The 15073-nt window shown below is 37.9% G+C and overlaps 1 protein-coding gene and 1 long non-coding RNA gene across 21 annotated transcripts in view; one reads left to right on the top strand and one right to left on the bottom strand.

Annotated features, from left to right (window-relative positions):
• The window catches only part of LOC112267900 (uncharacterized), a 50726-nt gene that overhangs the window by 20476 nt on the left and 15177 nt on the right, over positions 1 to 15073 (top strand). For 11 of the 13 annotated variants that reach the window (XR_007066117.1, XR_007066120.1, XR_007066112.1 and 8 more), the window contains 4 exons: positions 2980 to 3117; positions 4971 to 5042; positions 7867 to 8018; positions 12188 to 13700. This is a non-coding gene — a long non-coding RNA (uncharacterized LOC112267900). The remainder of the gene's footprint in view (positions 1 to 2979; positions 3118 to 4970; positions 5043 to 7866; positions 8019 to 12187; positions 13701 to 15073) is intronic. The other 2 variants (XR_002958544.2, XR_001737646.2) reach the window with 2 other exon arrangements.
• The window catches only part of DAB1 (DAB adaptor protein 1), a 1551949-nt gene continuing 1547206 nt past the window's right edge, over positions 10331 to 15073 (bottom strand). For all 8 annotated transcript variants that reach the window (NM_001379461.1, NM_021080.5, NM_001379462.1 and 5 more), the window contains one exon: positions 10331 to 13681. The gene's annotated coding sequence lies outside the window, so the exon portion shown is untranslated. The remainder of the gene's footprint in view (positions 13682 to 15073) is intronic.

The raw sequence follows: 15073 nt of genomic DNA on the forward strand, positions 1-15073 counted from the left end.
CCAAATTTCCAGCCACTTCTCCTCTACTGGGCCTCTGCTTCTGCATATGGAGGTGGGATTGGTGGTCACTGCTGCTTCTTAGAGAGGGTCACAAGGGAGTGTAAGGAGTGCCAGCAGCCAGGTGGGTGGGCATGAGAGCAGATCTCCCTGTGCTCCTCACCAGCGCTGGACCTCAGGCATTTTATTGATATTTAACAAGCACAAATTTAGAATTTACCATGTGCTAGGCACTTTATAATTGCTAGCCCATTTATGCCTAATTACAGTGCTAACCTCATCTCAATTTTACAGATGAGGCTACGGCAGCTCTGAGAAGTTAACTCACCCAATGTCTCAGAGCTACTAAGTGATAGAACTGGAATCCCTGTACTTTCCTGTAGGAATATTGTACCTAAATTTCATGTACACACATGTTGATCTATGTTGATCTATGTGTGCATGAAAGATGATCTTTCAAATCAATGGTTCAGTGAAAGAAAACAAGTTGTATGCATTGCATACTATTATTTATATTTTTTAAAAAGCAAACACCTATAAAACAAAAACTATGTATGTCTGTAGTAAACTTTTGTGAATGTAAATACCTAGGAGAATCTGGAAGGGCACACTGAATGGATAATTGTTTGTCTCTGGGAAAGAAACTAGGATAAAATGGCATGGTCAACAATTGGTTTTCTCTGTAATATTGTTATATTAAGAATGTGTTTATGGTCATGGTGTAATTAAAAATACATTTTTTAAAACTAATGGAAAAATAGGGTTGGCACAGTAAGGTTAGAAGCATAGAAGCAGACATGAAAGTTTTATATCTATGAATTTTATATTTTCTTTTTCTTTCTTTCTTTCTTTGGTTTTTTTTTTTTTTTTTTTAGATGGAGTTTCGCTCTTTTTGCCCACGCTGGAGTGCAGTGGCATGATCTCGGCTCACTGAAACCTCCACATCCCAGGTTCAAGTGATTCTCCTGCCTCAGCCTCCCGAGTAGCTGGGGCTATAGGTGCATGCCACCACGCCTGGCTAATTTTTGTATTTTTAGTAGAGATGGGGTTTCACCATGTTCGCCAGGCTGGTCACAAACTCCTGACTTCAAGCCTTCCAAAGTGCTGGGTTTACAGGCATGAGCCACCACACCAGGCCTATATTTTATATTGTCTAAACTTTTTAATTTTTATGTTTACTAAAATAAAGGGTGTATACTAAATAAACATGCTGTTGTTCCTTTGCAAGTTGTAAATTATAAACAATAGGCTTTGTAGATTGACAAAGATATGCTTCCTTTGATCACAGCATGGCTTTCATGGGTGAGGTGAGGTTGGCAATGATGGTGCTATAATTTTGAGAAGAAAGGCAGATTGTGAGTGATTGGGAGTAGAAATCTCTGGGCCTTCTTCCTCCTCCAACTCACTGATGGCCATGATCTCTAAAATGCCTCTGTTTTTCAGAGCTGAGTTTTGTGTGTCTCCTGAGTTAGTAAAGTCATTGGCTGTGTAAGGTACGCAAGGGTCTGGTCTTGCCCAACCCGTTTTCACATCTCTTTTGAAGAATGCATAAAGTGCAGGGTGCTTGGTTTTTTTCTGATGGTCTCTTTGTGCCTGTTTAAGGATGAGAGTGTGTCATTCAAACCTTGTCCAAAGATCAAACTCTCTTTGAGGAGGGGATTGATGGAATTCCACTGACTGCTTTATCAGTGTAGTTTGAAGCTTAGAGAGAGAAATTGCTTAAGTGCTTGTCAGTTTTGTTTTTGATCCCAAATCCTCTTCCTTTTTCTCCAACACACATTGCCCACTGTCACCAAACAACCTCTTCTAGTTCAATGAGTAACTTCTGGTCCTAATTAAGGAGTCAACTTGGAGTAATGATTAAGAACCTGAGTTCTAGAGTCAGACTCTGGATGTGAATTTTAGCCCTTCCAAGTGCAGCTTCTGTGACCTGTGAGCTTTCTCTCTAAGCCTCGGTGCCATTCTTGTAAAGTGGGAACAATAATAGTTTAAACCTTACAGGGCTGTTGTGAGGATGAACTGAGACAATCTAAGTAAAGCATCTCACATGGTGTTTAATACAAATTAAAAGCTCAACAAATACTTCCTATTATTATGACATCTGCATAGCATTTCATCACCTTGGTCTAAAGGTGGGGTTTGGAGATAGCATTGTCCCAGCAGGTGGGGTTTGGAGATAGCTTTATCATCTCGACTCAGAACAGGTCTCCTTGTGGAACCATGGCCTTCCTTTTGGATCCTGGCCATGAGAGCCCATTCTTAGGAACCATGTTTCAATTCCAGTAGGTGATGTCCACTCCAATGCAGCAGGATGTCCTCCCCAGGGTGCCAATGGGTCTGCCTGGGGTTCTAACAAGCTTTTTGGGACCAAACCCCTTCTCTGTGTGCTGCAGTTCTGCTTCAAATCAGTCCTTAGTCCCCTAGAAATCACAGCCTGACTCCTTGCTGGGCAAGGCCAGACCTAGTTGTCCCCTCCCCGTAGCCATAGCTATTTGGCCTGTGACAAGCCCCTTGTATCTCTTCACCTCTGCATTACTAGTCCAGGAGTCCACCCCTTAGGCAGCTCACAGTTATCTCTATCTATCATTCACATTTTCCCCTTTCCACCAAGGCTGTTCTTTCCCACCTTCTCCTTACTACCAGTTCTTTTTATGTTTTCTTAATAACAAAAGTGTTGTTGGTTCTTAAAACAACATTTATTTTTTTCTGACTAAAAAAAGGATAGCTATTCAGTATAGAGAAACAGGACAACATTGCACATGTATCCCGGAACTTAAAATTAAACTAAATTAAATTAAAAAGAGAGAAACAGGAAAACAAAATAAAAAATTTCAGTGCACAGAATAAAATGGAAATCATATGTAATCCTACTACCTGGATTTTTACAGTTTTTTTTCTATGCTTATATGTGAGTATGTACATTTACCCAACCAAATTAGAAATGTAATGTATACATGATTGTATACTTTTTTTTTTTGACAGGGTCTCGCTCTGTCACCCAGGCTGGAGTGCAGGCGTGCTATCTTGGCTCACTGCAACTTCTGCTTCCCGAGTTCAAGAGATCCTCATACCTCAGCCTCCTGAGTAGCCGGGACTACAGGCATGCGCCACCACACCCAGGTAATTTTTGTATTTTTAGTAGAGACAGGGTTTCATCATGTTGGCCAGGCTGGTCTTAAACTCCTGGCCTCATGTGATCTGCCTGCCTTGGCCTCCCAAAGTGCCAGGATTACGGGAGTGAGCCACTGCATCCGGCTTGATTTTACACTTTGTTATATTGAATGATTACTGAAAAACAGTCTGAAAAACAATGGGGTAAAATAGGTTCTGTAACATTGTAATGGCTGCATTCATAAACATTCATAAAATTACACTGATTGATTGATGTGGAAAATAAATATAAGAGACATGGTCTCTGTCTTCAAGGAGTATATCAGTGATTATATAGTCATAGCATCCTATTCTACAAATATAATATTTAGCTAGTTTTATATTATTTGAAATTTAGACTTCTAGTTTTTCTCTGTTATATATATAAAAAGTGAACATCTTAATACATATTCGTTCACTACGACGGAAATTCCCATGTTTTAAATTCCAGTCTTATACATGGAATTGTCATGTTGAATATTATGTCCTTTTAAAAGTAATTGACTTAAAAATCTTTGAATCAAACACTCGAAGTTGTTTGAGTGCCTTTTTCCTCATAGCCTCACCAACACAGATAATCACTTTTAAAATTATTGGTCATCTGATAGGCAAAAGTTATCTTGTTTTAACTTGAATTTTTGATTATAAAAATTGGTACATTAAAATGCTTTTGGGCTAATTAAAAATATTGGAAACAGAAAGTAGGTAGTAACATAACATTTCAAATAGCATACTGAGGTATAGATGGTAAGTTTGTTTTCTCCCACCCCAGGCTCCTACACCCCATCTCTGGAGCTGAACTCTCTAGTTAGCATGTGCTTAACATGACTGCATGAGGGCAAGGGCTTTGTTTTCCCAGCGTGTAGAATGATGGCTGGCACACAACAGGTACTCATTGGATGCTTATTAAATAAATAAGCACTTTCCTGAATAGAGTAATGAAAATTTTCTATGTAAACATAAACACCTACATGCATACTTTTTAATCCTTTTTATATTATTAACAAAAATGGGAACTCACCACACACACTATTCTTAAATGTCTCGATATTGTTCCATATAAACATATTTAGACTCCTTTCACTTTTTGAAAAATGCTGCATAGTACGGTAATTTAGTTAATATCCTTCCTATTGATGAAACATTTAGGGGCTTTATGTCTCTGGCTATTATTTATGGACGTTTCTTCTTCAGGAATTGTTTGCTCATGCTCTTTACTAATTTTGCTATAAACTTTTTCTATAAAGCTATTAGGAGCTTTCTGTACATTTAGAACAATAAAGCTTTGTTTATAATATATGCTGTAAATATTTTCCTAATTTCCCATGGTCTTTTAATTTCTTTTTTTATATCAATTTTTGGTAAACCTATTCATATTTTTATAAATATTTATTTTCTGCATTTGGTGGTATACTTATAAGGACCTTTTCTACCCCATATGAATATTCATTAATATTTTCCCATACACTTTCGTGTTTACATATGTTTAACTTATATGGAATTTAATTACCCATAAGGTATAAGGTAGAAATCTAACATTTTCTAGTAGTCTTTGTTATCCTAGATCCATTTATTGAATAGTATATTTTATCCCTGCTAATTAGAATATATTCAATCATAAATTAATTTCTTGAGTTTATTTCTGTACTTTATATTCTGTAAACCATGACTAGGTAAATAGAATAAATCACAGAATAATTTGTGAAAGCAAACACTTTAAATTATTTTGGGTTTATTTTTGAGATCTGATCTGATAGTATAAGTTTATGATCATGACATTGAATTTTTTTCCTCAAATAATCTCACATTCTTATCTCTTTCAGATATGACTTAGAATATGATTGAATATGAATACATGATTGAAGATATATTATAAAATTGAGATACTTGTTGCAGTAAGTTATAAATTAATTTGAGAGAGTTGGACCTTCTCTTTCAATTTGTTCTATTACTTTATGCCCTTCAACAAGCCTTTGTAGCTTTGTTTTGTTGGTTTTTTTTTTAATCTAGCTCTTAAATCTTCAGTATTAAATTTATTCTTGGGTATTCTCCTTTTGTTACTATCATTAATGGAATCTGTGTAAGTTTCCAGTAGGTTTTCTATAAGGTTACTTATGGCAATATAAAAAATATTGATTTTTATATATTTATTTTTAAAGTAGCAACCTTAGGTAATTCTCTTATTTGTTCTTATCCCTTCTAATAGATATTTCCTGTTAGAAAATATTATCTGCAAACACTGATAATGTTCTCATTTTAAACACTTGATTTCTTTTTCTTGCGTTAGTGCATTGCATTGCCTCAAATTTCAGAGCAATGTTAAATGATAGAGGTAGTAGCTGCCACCTTGATCTCCATCTGATTTTAGCAGGGCTACCCTCAATTTTCACTGCTAAGTTTCATATTGGCTATTGGTTTGAGGAAGATGTTCTTTACTATGTGAAGGGAATATTACTATAATTCTAGTTTCCAGTTTTTTTTCTTGAAGAGGATAATGAATTTTATCAGATGCCTTTTTGGCATCCATTAAGATGAGACAGTCTCTCTTGAGCTATTAATTACATTCTGAAAGTCAACTTTATTTAGTCATGGTTTACAGCTATGTTTAAAATGTAGGAACTTCTGATTATCCATTGAAAAGATTAGGCTATAATTTGTATTTTTTTGATGTTTTGTTATTCTAGATTTGATATATGAATTGAGAAATTTTTTTTTCTGTTGTTCGACAGTTAAATGAGCATTATTTTCTGTCTTCCTTTACAGCCACTCCAGGCATATCATGTGCACTGGCCCTGCTAGCTAATGCTCTTCCCCCCACTACCATCACCTTATGGTAAACTCCTACTTACTTCTTTTTTTTTTTTTTTTTTTTTTTTGAGACGGAGTCTCGCTCTGTCACCCAGGCTAGAGTGCAGTGGCGCGATCTCGGCTCACTGCATCACTGCAAGCTCCGCCTCCCGGGTTCAGGCCATTCTCCTGCCTCAGCCTCCCGAGTAGCTGGGACTACAGGCGCCTGCAACCACGCCTGGCTAATTTTTTGTATTTTTAGTAGAGACGGGGTTTCACTGTTAGCCCAGTTTAACCATCAACACTTCCATAGAGCACTCTCCCACCACTCCCATAGTATTAGCACATCCTTTATTCCAGCATTAATTCTACTACAGTTTACTTGTCTATTAACCTATTTTCCCCTCTAGAATCTGAGCTTCTTGAAGCAGGGACAGTCATGTATGCATCTTAAAAAAATCTTCAATCTCCAGTGCTCATCAGAAGACCTGGCACATAGCACATTGTTAATAACTCTTTGTTATATGAAAAAGTCCATAATGCATTTTTGCTTTAAACTTTGCCAGGGAAGAAAATTTGGATGCTGTTTGTGTATACTTCTTTGCCGTTCTTTGACAATAAAATAGAGATAATATCACTTACTGCCCTTCTTCACACCTGATAGAGTTACTGAGCTGGGATAATAGATGGGCAAGGTGAAAGTGAAAGAATTAAATACAAAAATCCATAATAGTGATTAGACTTTCTTTGATATTAACAACAGGTAACATGCATTGAGCGTTTACTATGTTCCAGGCATGAAATTATCAAATTTATTTCTTATAATAGCTGCAATTTTAGGTGAGTAAATGAAATTTTAGACAGTTTAAGTGACTTGTCTGAGGTGAAACAACTGGCAAGTCAAAGACTTTCTGAAATCAGGGTCCACTATGTGGAAACTATTCTATATCGACTCACCAGTGAAGATAGTGTGCTCCACTTAAATGAGAAAAGCAACGAACAATAAGCCCAGGGTGAAGATTTGGTTACATACCCTGCTTCTCAGGTTTTGCTTAAGTTTAGCGCCCACCAGGAAGAAAGAAAACGATTATCTGCCTCCTTGACTTTTGCATCATTTGTCTTTCTTCTGATGAAAGTGGGACTAATCACTGAGTTAGGGTTTCCTTATTTTTAGTCTACACCATGTTGCTTTATCCTAAAAGGATAAATATGGGCTGTGTGATGGTTGACCACCTTTCTTCTTCCTTCTATGAAGGTCTGAAAGGGCACAAGACAGGTAAAAAGGAAACAGCTTTTCTTTAGTAACTAAGTTGCTAGATTTTTGATCTCATGGCCCTGAGCTACACGTGAATGACTTTGACCTGTAATCTGAAATAAGATAGACTTCAGAGTTCACCTCTCCCACCATTTCACTCCAAAGGTGAGATAAGGTAGAGTTGCTAAAGGTACAGTATGAAGGGCATGTGGCATTTTAGTGTTGACAGTATGCCAGCTCTAAGACCTGCTTCTTCCATCTCCAACCATTCCTGCTTGCTCCCCACTCCAAGCTGTGATCCCCCCGAGTGAGTGATAGAAGTGGCAAGAGGTTGTTCGGAAGATTAAAGACCCAAGTCACCAGAGGCTGCCATCTCGCAAGAATATTTAGACATTTTTCCACTTGGCAGTCATTAATATTCTTCAGCAAAGAGTAAAAAGAAAGCCTGTTCAAAAAGCCTCCCTCTTCAGATCTCTGTACCTTGGAAGATAAAGTGAATGAAAGGGTTTTGTTATGAAATTAAATATTCATTGGATTGAGTTAGAGCTATTACTGTTCTTGAGAATAAAACTGGATTTTTCCTTTGTTTTAAATAACTACGGTCATTTTATGTAAGAATCCATTTCTGTACTGAATTGATCAGGGTAACGCATGGTGTGATTTTTCTAATATAATAGACACAACAGGGAAATGAATACAGAAGGGCTCAAAGTATTTTATAGAGGGTATACGAGCAATTTGACGTCGCAGAAAACCTGTCAGAAAGAAGCACCATGGAATAGAGGAAAGAGGCCCGGAATCCAGCCCCGGGAACTGTGACAGCCTCTGGGTGAGATCTTTGGCTCTGTTAATTGATAGCTGTTGTGGAACACATCTGAGTTTCCGTTTCCTAACCTGTGACATGGAGAGCATATTCTTTTCCTCTTGGGGTTCGTGTAAAGATTTGGAAACAGTAGCTAGAAAATGAGTGGCACGGACAAAGCAGGAGCACAACGGTGGCAGTGATTATTCCCGTTTTCACATACATACCCAGACCGGTCACGAAATGGCTGGAAAGCCATTCACATCTGTTTACTTTCTCTCTCTTTTTAATCTTCCAGGCACCATTGCTCACATTTCCCTTGAATTTAAACTTCTTTTAAAAGCTTTCAAAGCTTTGAAGGTTGATTTCAATGAAACCTGTTTTTATTCTAGGTGTTTTTCCGACTGTCATTCTGAGTAAAACAAAAAACATTTACTGTCAAAACAACAAGGGCTTACTCTCAAGCACAAAATGAAAGCAGATATGTCTGCCTCATTTATTTTGGCATCCACCTAGCAGTTAAATAGGACACCTTTTAATTTGTCACTTCTTTAAGATTCATTTAGGTTGGCAAAGTAAATCCCCAGTGCTTGGTTTCAGCTAAACTTCAACGAGTTGGGTAAAACAGTTTATTCTTTATCACTCAGACACACAAGCTTTGAAAGGTGCCGGTTAAAGATGGAACTATGTATTTAGCAGTGTAAGACAGTAACATCTAATGGATTTTAATTTTTACTTTGAATGGGAGGAACTTAGAAATTTAACTTATTACCAAAGATCCACTAGCAGTCTGAGAAGAGACACAGAAGGTCAATGTTTTTCAAAAAACCTAGGTAGAACTATTTCAAACAGTGAATATCCAATTATTTTAAAATTAGACTCAAGTATGAGTAAAGAGACCCAATATTCAAATCTCAACTCTGCCATTTGCTGGCTGGGGAAGTTACTTAATTTACCTGAATCTCAGTTTCTTTATCTATAAATTGGGATAATATCTACCCCTTCCAGGTTGTTTAGAAAATTAGCTGAGGCAATGGACATAGAGCAGCTAGCACCTGCCTGGCACATACTAGCTGTTCAACATGTGCAAGTCACTGTTTTTATTAAGAAAAACTTCTGGCTTGCTGCGGTGGCTCTTGCCTGTAATTCTAGCACTTTGGAAGGCTGAGGCCTGTGGATCGCTTGATCTCCGGAATCTGAGACCAGCTTGAGCAGCACAGTGAAACCCTATCTCCACAAAAAAATACAAAAATTAGCCAGGCATGGTGGTGCGTGTCTGTAGTCCCAGCTATTTGGAGGGCTGAGGCGAGAGGATTGTTTGGGCCTAGGAGGCAGAGGTTGCAATGAACAAAGATCACACCACTGCACTCCAGCCTGGGCAACAGAGTGAAACCCTGTTTCAACCAAAACAAAACAAAAATGAAAACAAAAACTTCTGCAACATTTTCTAACAATTCAGTCCAGGATTTAGCATTTCTAACTGTATGGAAATTGTTTCTTCTATCTGCTCCAAATGTACTTTGCTAGAATCTAAGCCCATTTTCTCATTTTCTCAAAGTTAGCAATAACATCTGTTTAATACCTTCTTTGTAACAAGGCCAGATTGAGGGCTTGTGTTTATGCAGTCATTAACAAAACCATTCTTAAACAGTGGTGGTTTTTCGCATCTCAATGACCTAATTGTAATCTGGCTAATTATTTGATTTAGTTACAAAAGGAAATAAAAATCACACACACACACACACACACGCATACATAAATATGTACACAACACCTACATATATTCATTTTTTTCTGTTCTTCAATACATACAATCCAGCTTCAGGCCTTTTTATTTTGGTGTGGATTTTGAGGGGAATGTAAAGAAAGATAAATGCTTCCTTCTTGAGTCCCTTAAAGCAGATGACCTTAAAATGAACGATGGGGAACTCTTTGACAGTCTAGATTAATCTCGGTTTTCCAATCAATAGTTTAATAGGTTTTTTTTGTTTTGTTTTAGGGGAAGACACAATCCACAGGGCTAGTCCCAGAGTCTTTCCCAGTTTTGAACGTCTCATGCTAAATGTGGTCCAAATACCACATCTACCCAGGGTTTGCTTTTTTTCTGACAACATCCTCCTTCCTGTCTGGGGCTGCTTTTCCAAGCATAGCAAGCACTTGAATTCAACTGAGGGCTGACAAATTGACCTTACTCCCCAATAAAGCTTGCTCTTTTTAGCTCAGGGCCAGGGAAACACAGGCTGTCACTTGGTCAGATGGAATCTTAGGTAAAGCAATTTCCTCTTCCGATCCAAGCCTGAATATCCAGTGGAAACTTGTAGAATAAAGCCAGGCTAAAGTGTTGTTCTCAAACATGTTTATTTGTAACAGTTTTACATGGTGTGTTACAGAAATTAATGGAAAATTTCTAAAAATTTTGCTGTTCTGTTGAATGCATTGTACATAAAGTTAAAAATAATGTGTCCATATATGTTAACAAACTGTCATCTGAGGTAAAGTTAAAGTAGGTCTAGAAAGGTACTGCAACAGTCATTTTCTCTTTCTCATCTTTATTAAAAAAATATGTGTCAGAACGCAGAAATTGAAATGAACCAAACCCACAGAGTAAACATTTGTTTAAAAGAAGGTGCCCAGTACATTACATGATGGGGTTTCAGGAGACACTGGGATGAGTACGAGCTATCAAAAAAGTCTTGCGGCATGTAAAGATTGAAGAGCTATGGAGAATGGGGACAGAATGACAGGTGGTGTTTCCCTGGTTTCAAAATTTAAAGTGACAAATTTAGTGCTAGTGGAGGATGAGGAATTAACAGTTGTACACATGGATTTTCTATTGATCTAACCAGAACCGTGCAGACTCCCCATGGTCTTTTGGTATTGGCACCTCAGCTCTTGCTTGGAAATTTCACTGTACTCCTGGGACAGGATACGGTGCTTCCAGGCTCACCAAACAGTGCTTGGAAAAAAATCAGAATTCTGCCAATGAGAATATGGATGGCAGTTGAAAAACTTGACTTTATTTCCCTTACTTTAATGCATCACTTGGGCATCTATCTTCTTGAAGTTCAGAGCCAGTTACATTTTCAATCATGTTCAATGAAAGAGGACAATTCTCCTGGACTTTCACCTTCTGCTAGGAAATTAACTCCAGATGGTATACCTGAAACAGCAACATCAGCCAGAGTTCACTTTGAATGTGTCAGAAGCAACCCAAAGAATTGGTATAATGGTGTGATACTGCAAGACAAACTCAAGACAGCCATATTGAGGGAGAAGATAGCACCACTTGTTTAGAATCAAATCATAGGCAACAAAGCAATTTAAGCAATTTCCCATGGGAACTGCCTATCTTACCAAATCCCCAGAAAACAAACTGGTCTCAGGCCAACTCTTATGGTCATTCCACCTTTCCCATCTTCCCGTTCATGTGAAAGGGTTACCTAATCATAAAATGTTTGCTCATTTCTCAAGAAACTCTGTGGACCAACAGGTGATAGCTACAGAGGGAGGTAAACGGCCCTTCTCACTTTTCTGGTTCTTCGGACCTTCCACATTAGGATGATATTGACATATATTCTTGAATAGACGTTTGGTCAGTTTATCTAACTGAAAAAAAAATTAGACTCCTGTGACCTGATAGTGTAAAATGTGGGCTTTAAATGATAACCATTACCTTCATGTATCACTTTTCGCTTTGTGAACAAGTATACAATCATTTTTCAAATGAATCTCCCAAATCATTTTAGTTTCTATTGATATGAAGAATCAAATGCAGGCCTATTCAAATCAATTGTCTCAATGGAAATTCTACTTTTCAAATCTAAAAACCAAATAATAATAATTATCCTCAAATCCAATTAATCACATGAATCTTTAAAGTTTTCTTCTTAGTGTTAAAACACTTTCAACATACTGTAACTGCATAGGAACATCAGGAAAACACACTTGACCTGTATAACAATTCTCTGTAGGGCAAAAATATATAGATTCTTTATGAAAATCATGTGCTAAACATACGAACCAAACACTGCACTTTTTGTCTCATAAGTGTAAAAAAAGGAAGCTTAGCCTCTTCTGTTTCACGTACAAACAGTCCAGTGATTTATATCGGGGGTAGGTGGGAGTGGGGAGGTGGGAGAGTTTCAGAATCTGAATTCTTCAGAATGTGAATTGTCTTTTTCTTGTGTTGCACGTAGGGTGGGGACTCTCGTGGAAAGGCTAGATGATGGAGTCACGTGCTCCCTTCCCGTTCACTAGCTGCTGATTGGCCAACTGCTCCTGCCAGCTGTCCCTGCACTCCAGCTTCCTACCATATGCTCCAGAATAACGTCTGGAAAGTGAGCCCCATCCATCAAGTTTGTCACACCTTGCACTCAATCTGCTACCTTCTCTACAGTGTAATGGCATTATTAAAAATCATTTTCATTAACATTTATATTTACAAAAAAAAGACAATTTTTTTTCATTAGAACTCCTTAAAGCCATTTCCCTTAAATATTTAAAGAGTTTAATGGTAAGGTTTTTTTTTCAAGTTATAAAATAAAAATCCCATTTGAATTTTCTGATGTACAAAAAGAGATAGAGATGAACCATTTGGACCACAGAATCAGTTTGTTATTCTGAATATTTATGCCACCATTGTTCCATTAGAAAGTTGGTTTTTAAGATCCAAAACCACATTACCAGAATTGTACCAGAATTATTTGGCAAATGACTTTTCTTTGAAAATGGCACGTGGAGAAGACACTTGTCTGCATAGCAACACAGCAGCAAGATATCGGAAAAATAAAAAATATCATTTTATTGTACTTAGAGTTTAGAGCTTCTTAAGAAATCAGATGCATTTTTCATCTTTCTCATCAATGGGATCTGATGTCTTTTCCTACTCACAGAATGAAGGTTCGTACTGAAAGCTGTCTTTCTTCACCAGGATGCAGAATAGCTAAAGGACTGTTTTGGCAACATTCGTGATCATAATGAATAATCAACCACTTATTTGTCTTGTAATTTCAAGTTAATTCATTTCACTGAGGCTTTTTTTCTCCCCAGTTAGATTTCTTCACCCATATCTAAAAAAAGTCAAAAGCAATACAAAAATTTGTACACCTATTAATTTTCAAACATGACAAAAAAAGGAAAGGGGGGAAAATGGCAGACCAGGCCCCATGGAGTGACAAAAAACACATCATCCTATGTGAAAAGGCATATGGATGACGATATTGTGGTCACAGAAGACCCTTTGCTTTTGCTTAAAGAAGTCAGTTCCAACCCTGTTGTAATCCTCTGATGCCTGTCACTCCAAATTTGGTGTCTCAACAGTGGTCAACAGGTAGAGAAATAAAAAGGGAATTAATAATTTTGCACACTGAGTCATCTTAAACCCAGCTATGAGGGCTCAAATATTTGTTGGGTAAGCATTTGCTTGATTTCTGATTTAATGTTGGGTGGATCTTTCTATACTTTTTTTGTGTGCTGCCATAGATATCTGCCATTGGTTGCCAAAAATGCTTAGTTCCCTCTTCTGAGCGAGTTCCATTGGGCAATCATGAATTTCTTGTGGGAAGAGGTGAAAGAATACAAGAGAGCCTGTCGTGATGCTGATGTCCATGCCAGTCTTGAGCACCCACCACGAGCTCGCATCGATGCTATTTCTTAGGTCTGTTGATCTGCGCGTACAGAGGCTCTGGCTCCTGTGGATAAAGGAACAAAGTGAGGCCTGCTCTTTACACTTGCATGGATTTTCTGAGACAGCTTTGGGAAAAGGGGTTTAGGATTAAAACAGAAAAGTGACAGTTTATGATGGATGACCTTAGGTTATTTTTGGAGTATTTGATCAGGGTGCATAACATTTTGGCAACATTTTTATTATCCAAAATAGCTATGCACTCAGTTCTGTCTTTCGTTTTCAAGTTGGAACTGATTGCCCTGTTAGGGAAGTAGCATGGTATAGTAGGGAGAGTTAGAAAAGCTGTGTCATGTGGACAAGATACTTATCCTGAGTCTTGGTTTCTCCAACCACAAAATGGGAATAGTACTGTTTATCCTACGGGGTTCTTGAGGGAATTAGAGATTACACATATAAAGTATCTAGCACAATGCTTGCTAGCAATACATCTTCAGAAATTGCTAACAATTACCATGAGACAAGTGGACATTTTTCCAACACAGTTTCATAAATGTCCACTTGAGAACCCTGAAATTCTATTTCAAATTGCTCTTCTACAAATAGTGATGCCTGGGTGCACTGTTGAGCCAGAGAAACAGCAAGTGTGTCTTTGTCTCTTAATCACAAACTTCTGGACTTGTTTCCATTCAGTCTGAGCCCTCCACTTTGGCCAGTCATTTGCCTGCACCCAGGGGGCTGTCCTGAAACACATACAGGGATTTTCAACCAGCATGTAATGCAGCAAACCTGCAATCCACACCTAGATAGGAAACAGCGTTCGGCCCTATTTAAACCCCGTCAGACTTCAGCTGATGTTGAGATGGCTCATTGTGCCTTGGCCAAGCAGATTTGATGGATACTGTGGTTTTAAGCATGCACAGGACCTTCTGTTAAAATTGACCTTTATGCTGTCACTCTTGGAGGTCTGTGCCAGAATTAAACGGGCACAATGAAATCCTAATTTTACCATATTTGATATATTAGCTTGTCCCCTGCCTTGTCATATAGGTTCTTATTATTTGCTTTTTTCTTGAAACTTCAAAATGAATTGGCATTCTGGGAGCCCCTACCATGTGTCTGGCACCATGCTAGGTATTTTCAAGTACATTGTCTTTTTATCTCATCACAACAGCCTTGTAAGGCAGATGCTTTATCTCTTTTGCAAGGGTGAAATTAAGCACAGAGAAGTTAGATAATTTGCCCATGGTCACACAGCTAGTAAGTCTAGAGACATGAGAACTGAAAACAGGGTCCAGGGGCCAGTGCTTTTTCTAATCTTTTACAACAGTGACCATGAGGAGGGAGAGACAGAGAGAGAGAGACCCCAATCTTTCCATCCATTGGTGCTTCAGAGTTTACAAAGCACCTCATGTCTTATTTATCTGCCTTATAGTCCTGAGGGTGGCTTTTATTTTTT

This window comes from Homo sapiens, chromosome 1 (assembly GCF_000001405.40).
Source record: "Homo sapiens chromosome 1, GRCh38.p14 Primary Assembly".
NCBI classification, from domain to species: Eukaryota; Metazoa; Chordata; class Mammalia; order Primates; family Hominidae; genus Homo; species Homo sapiens.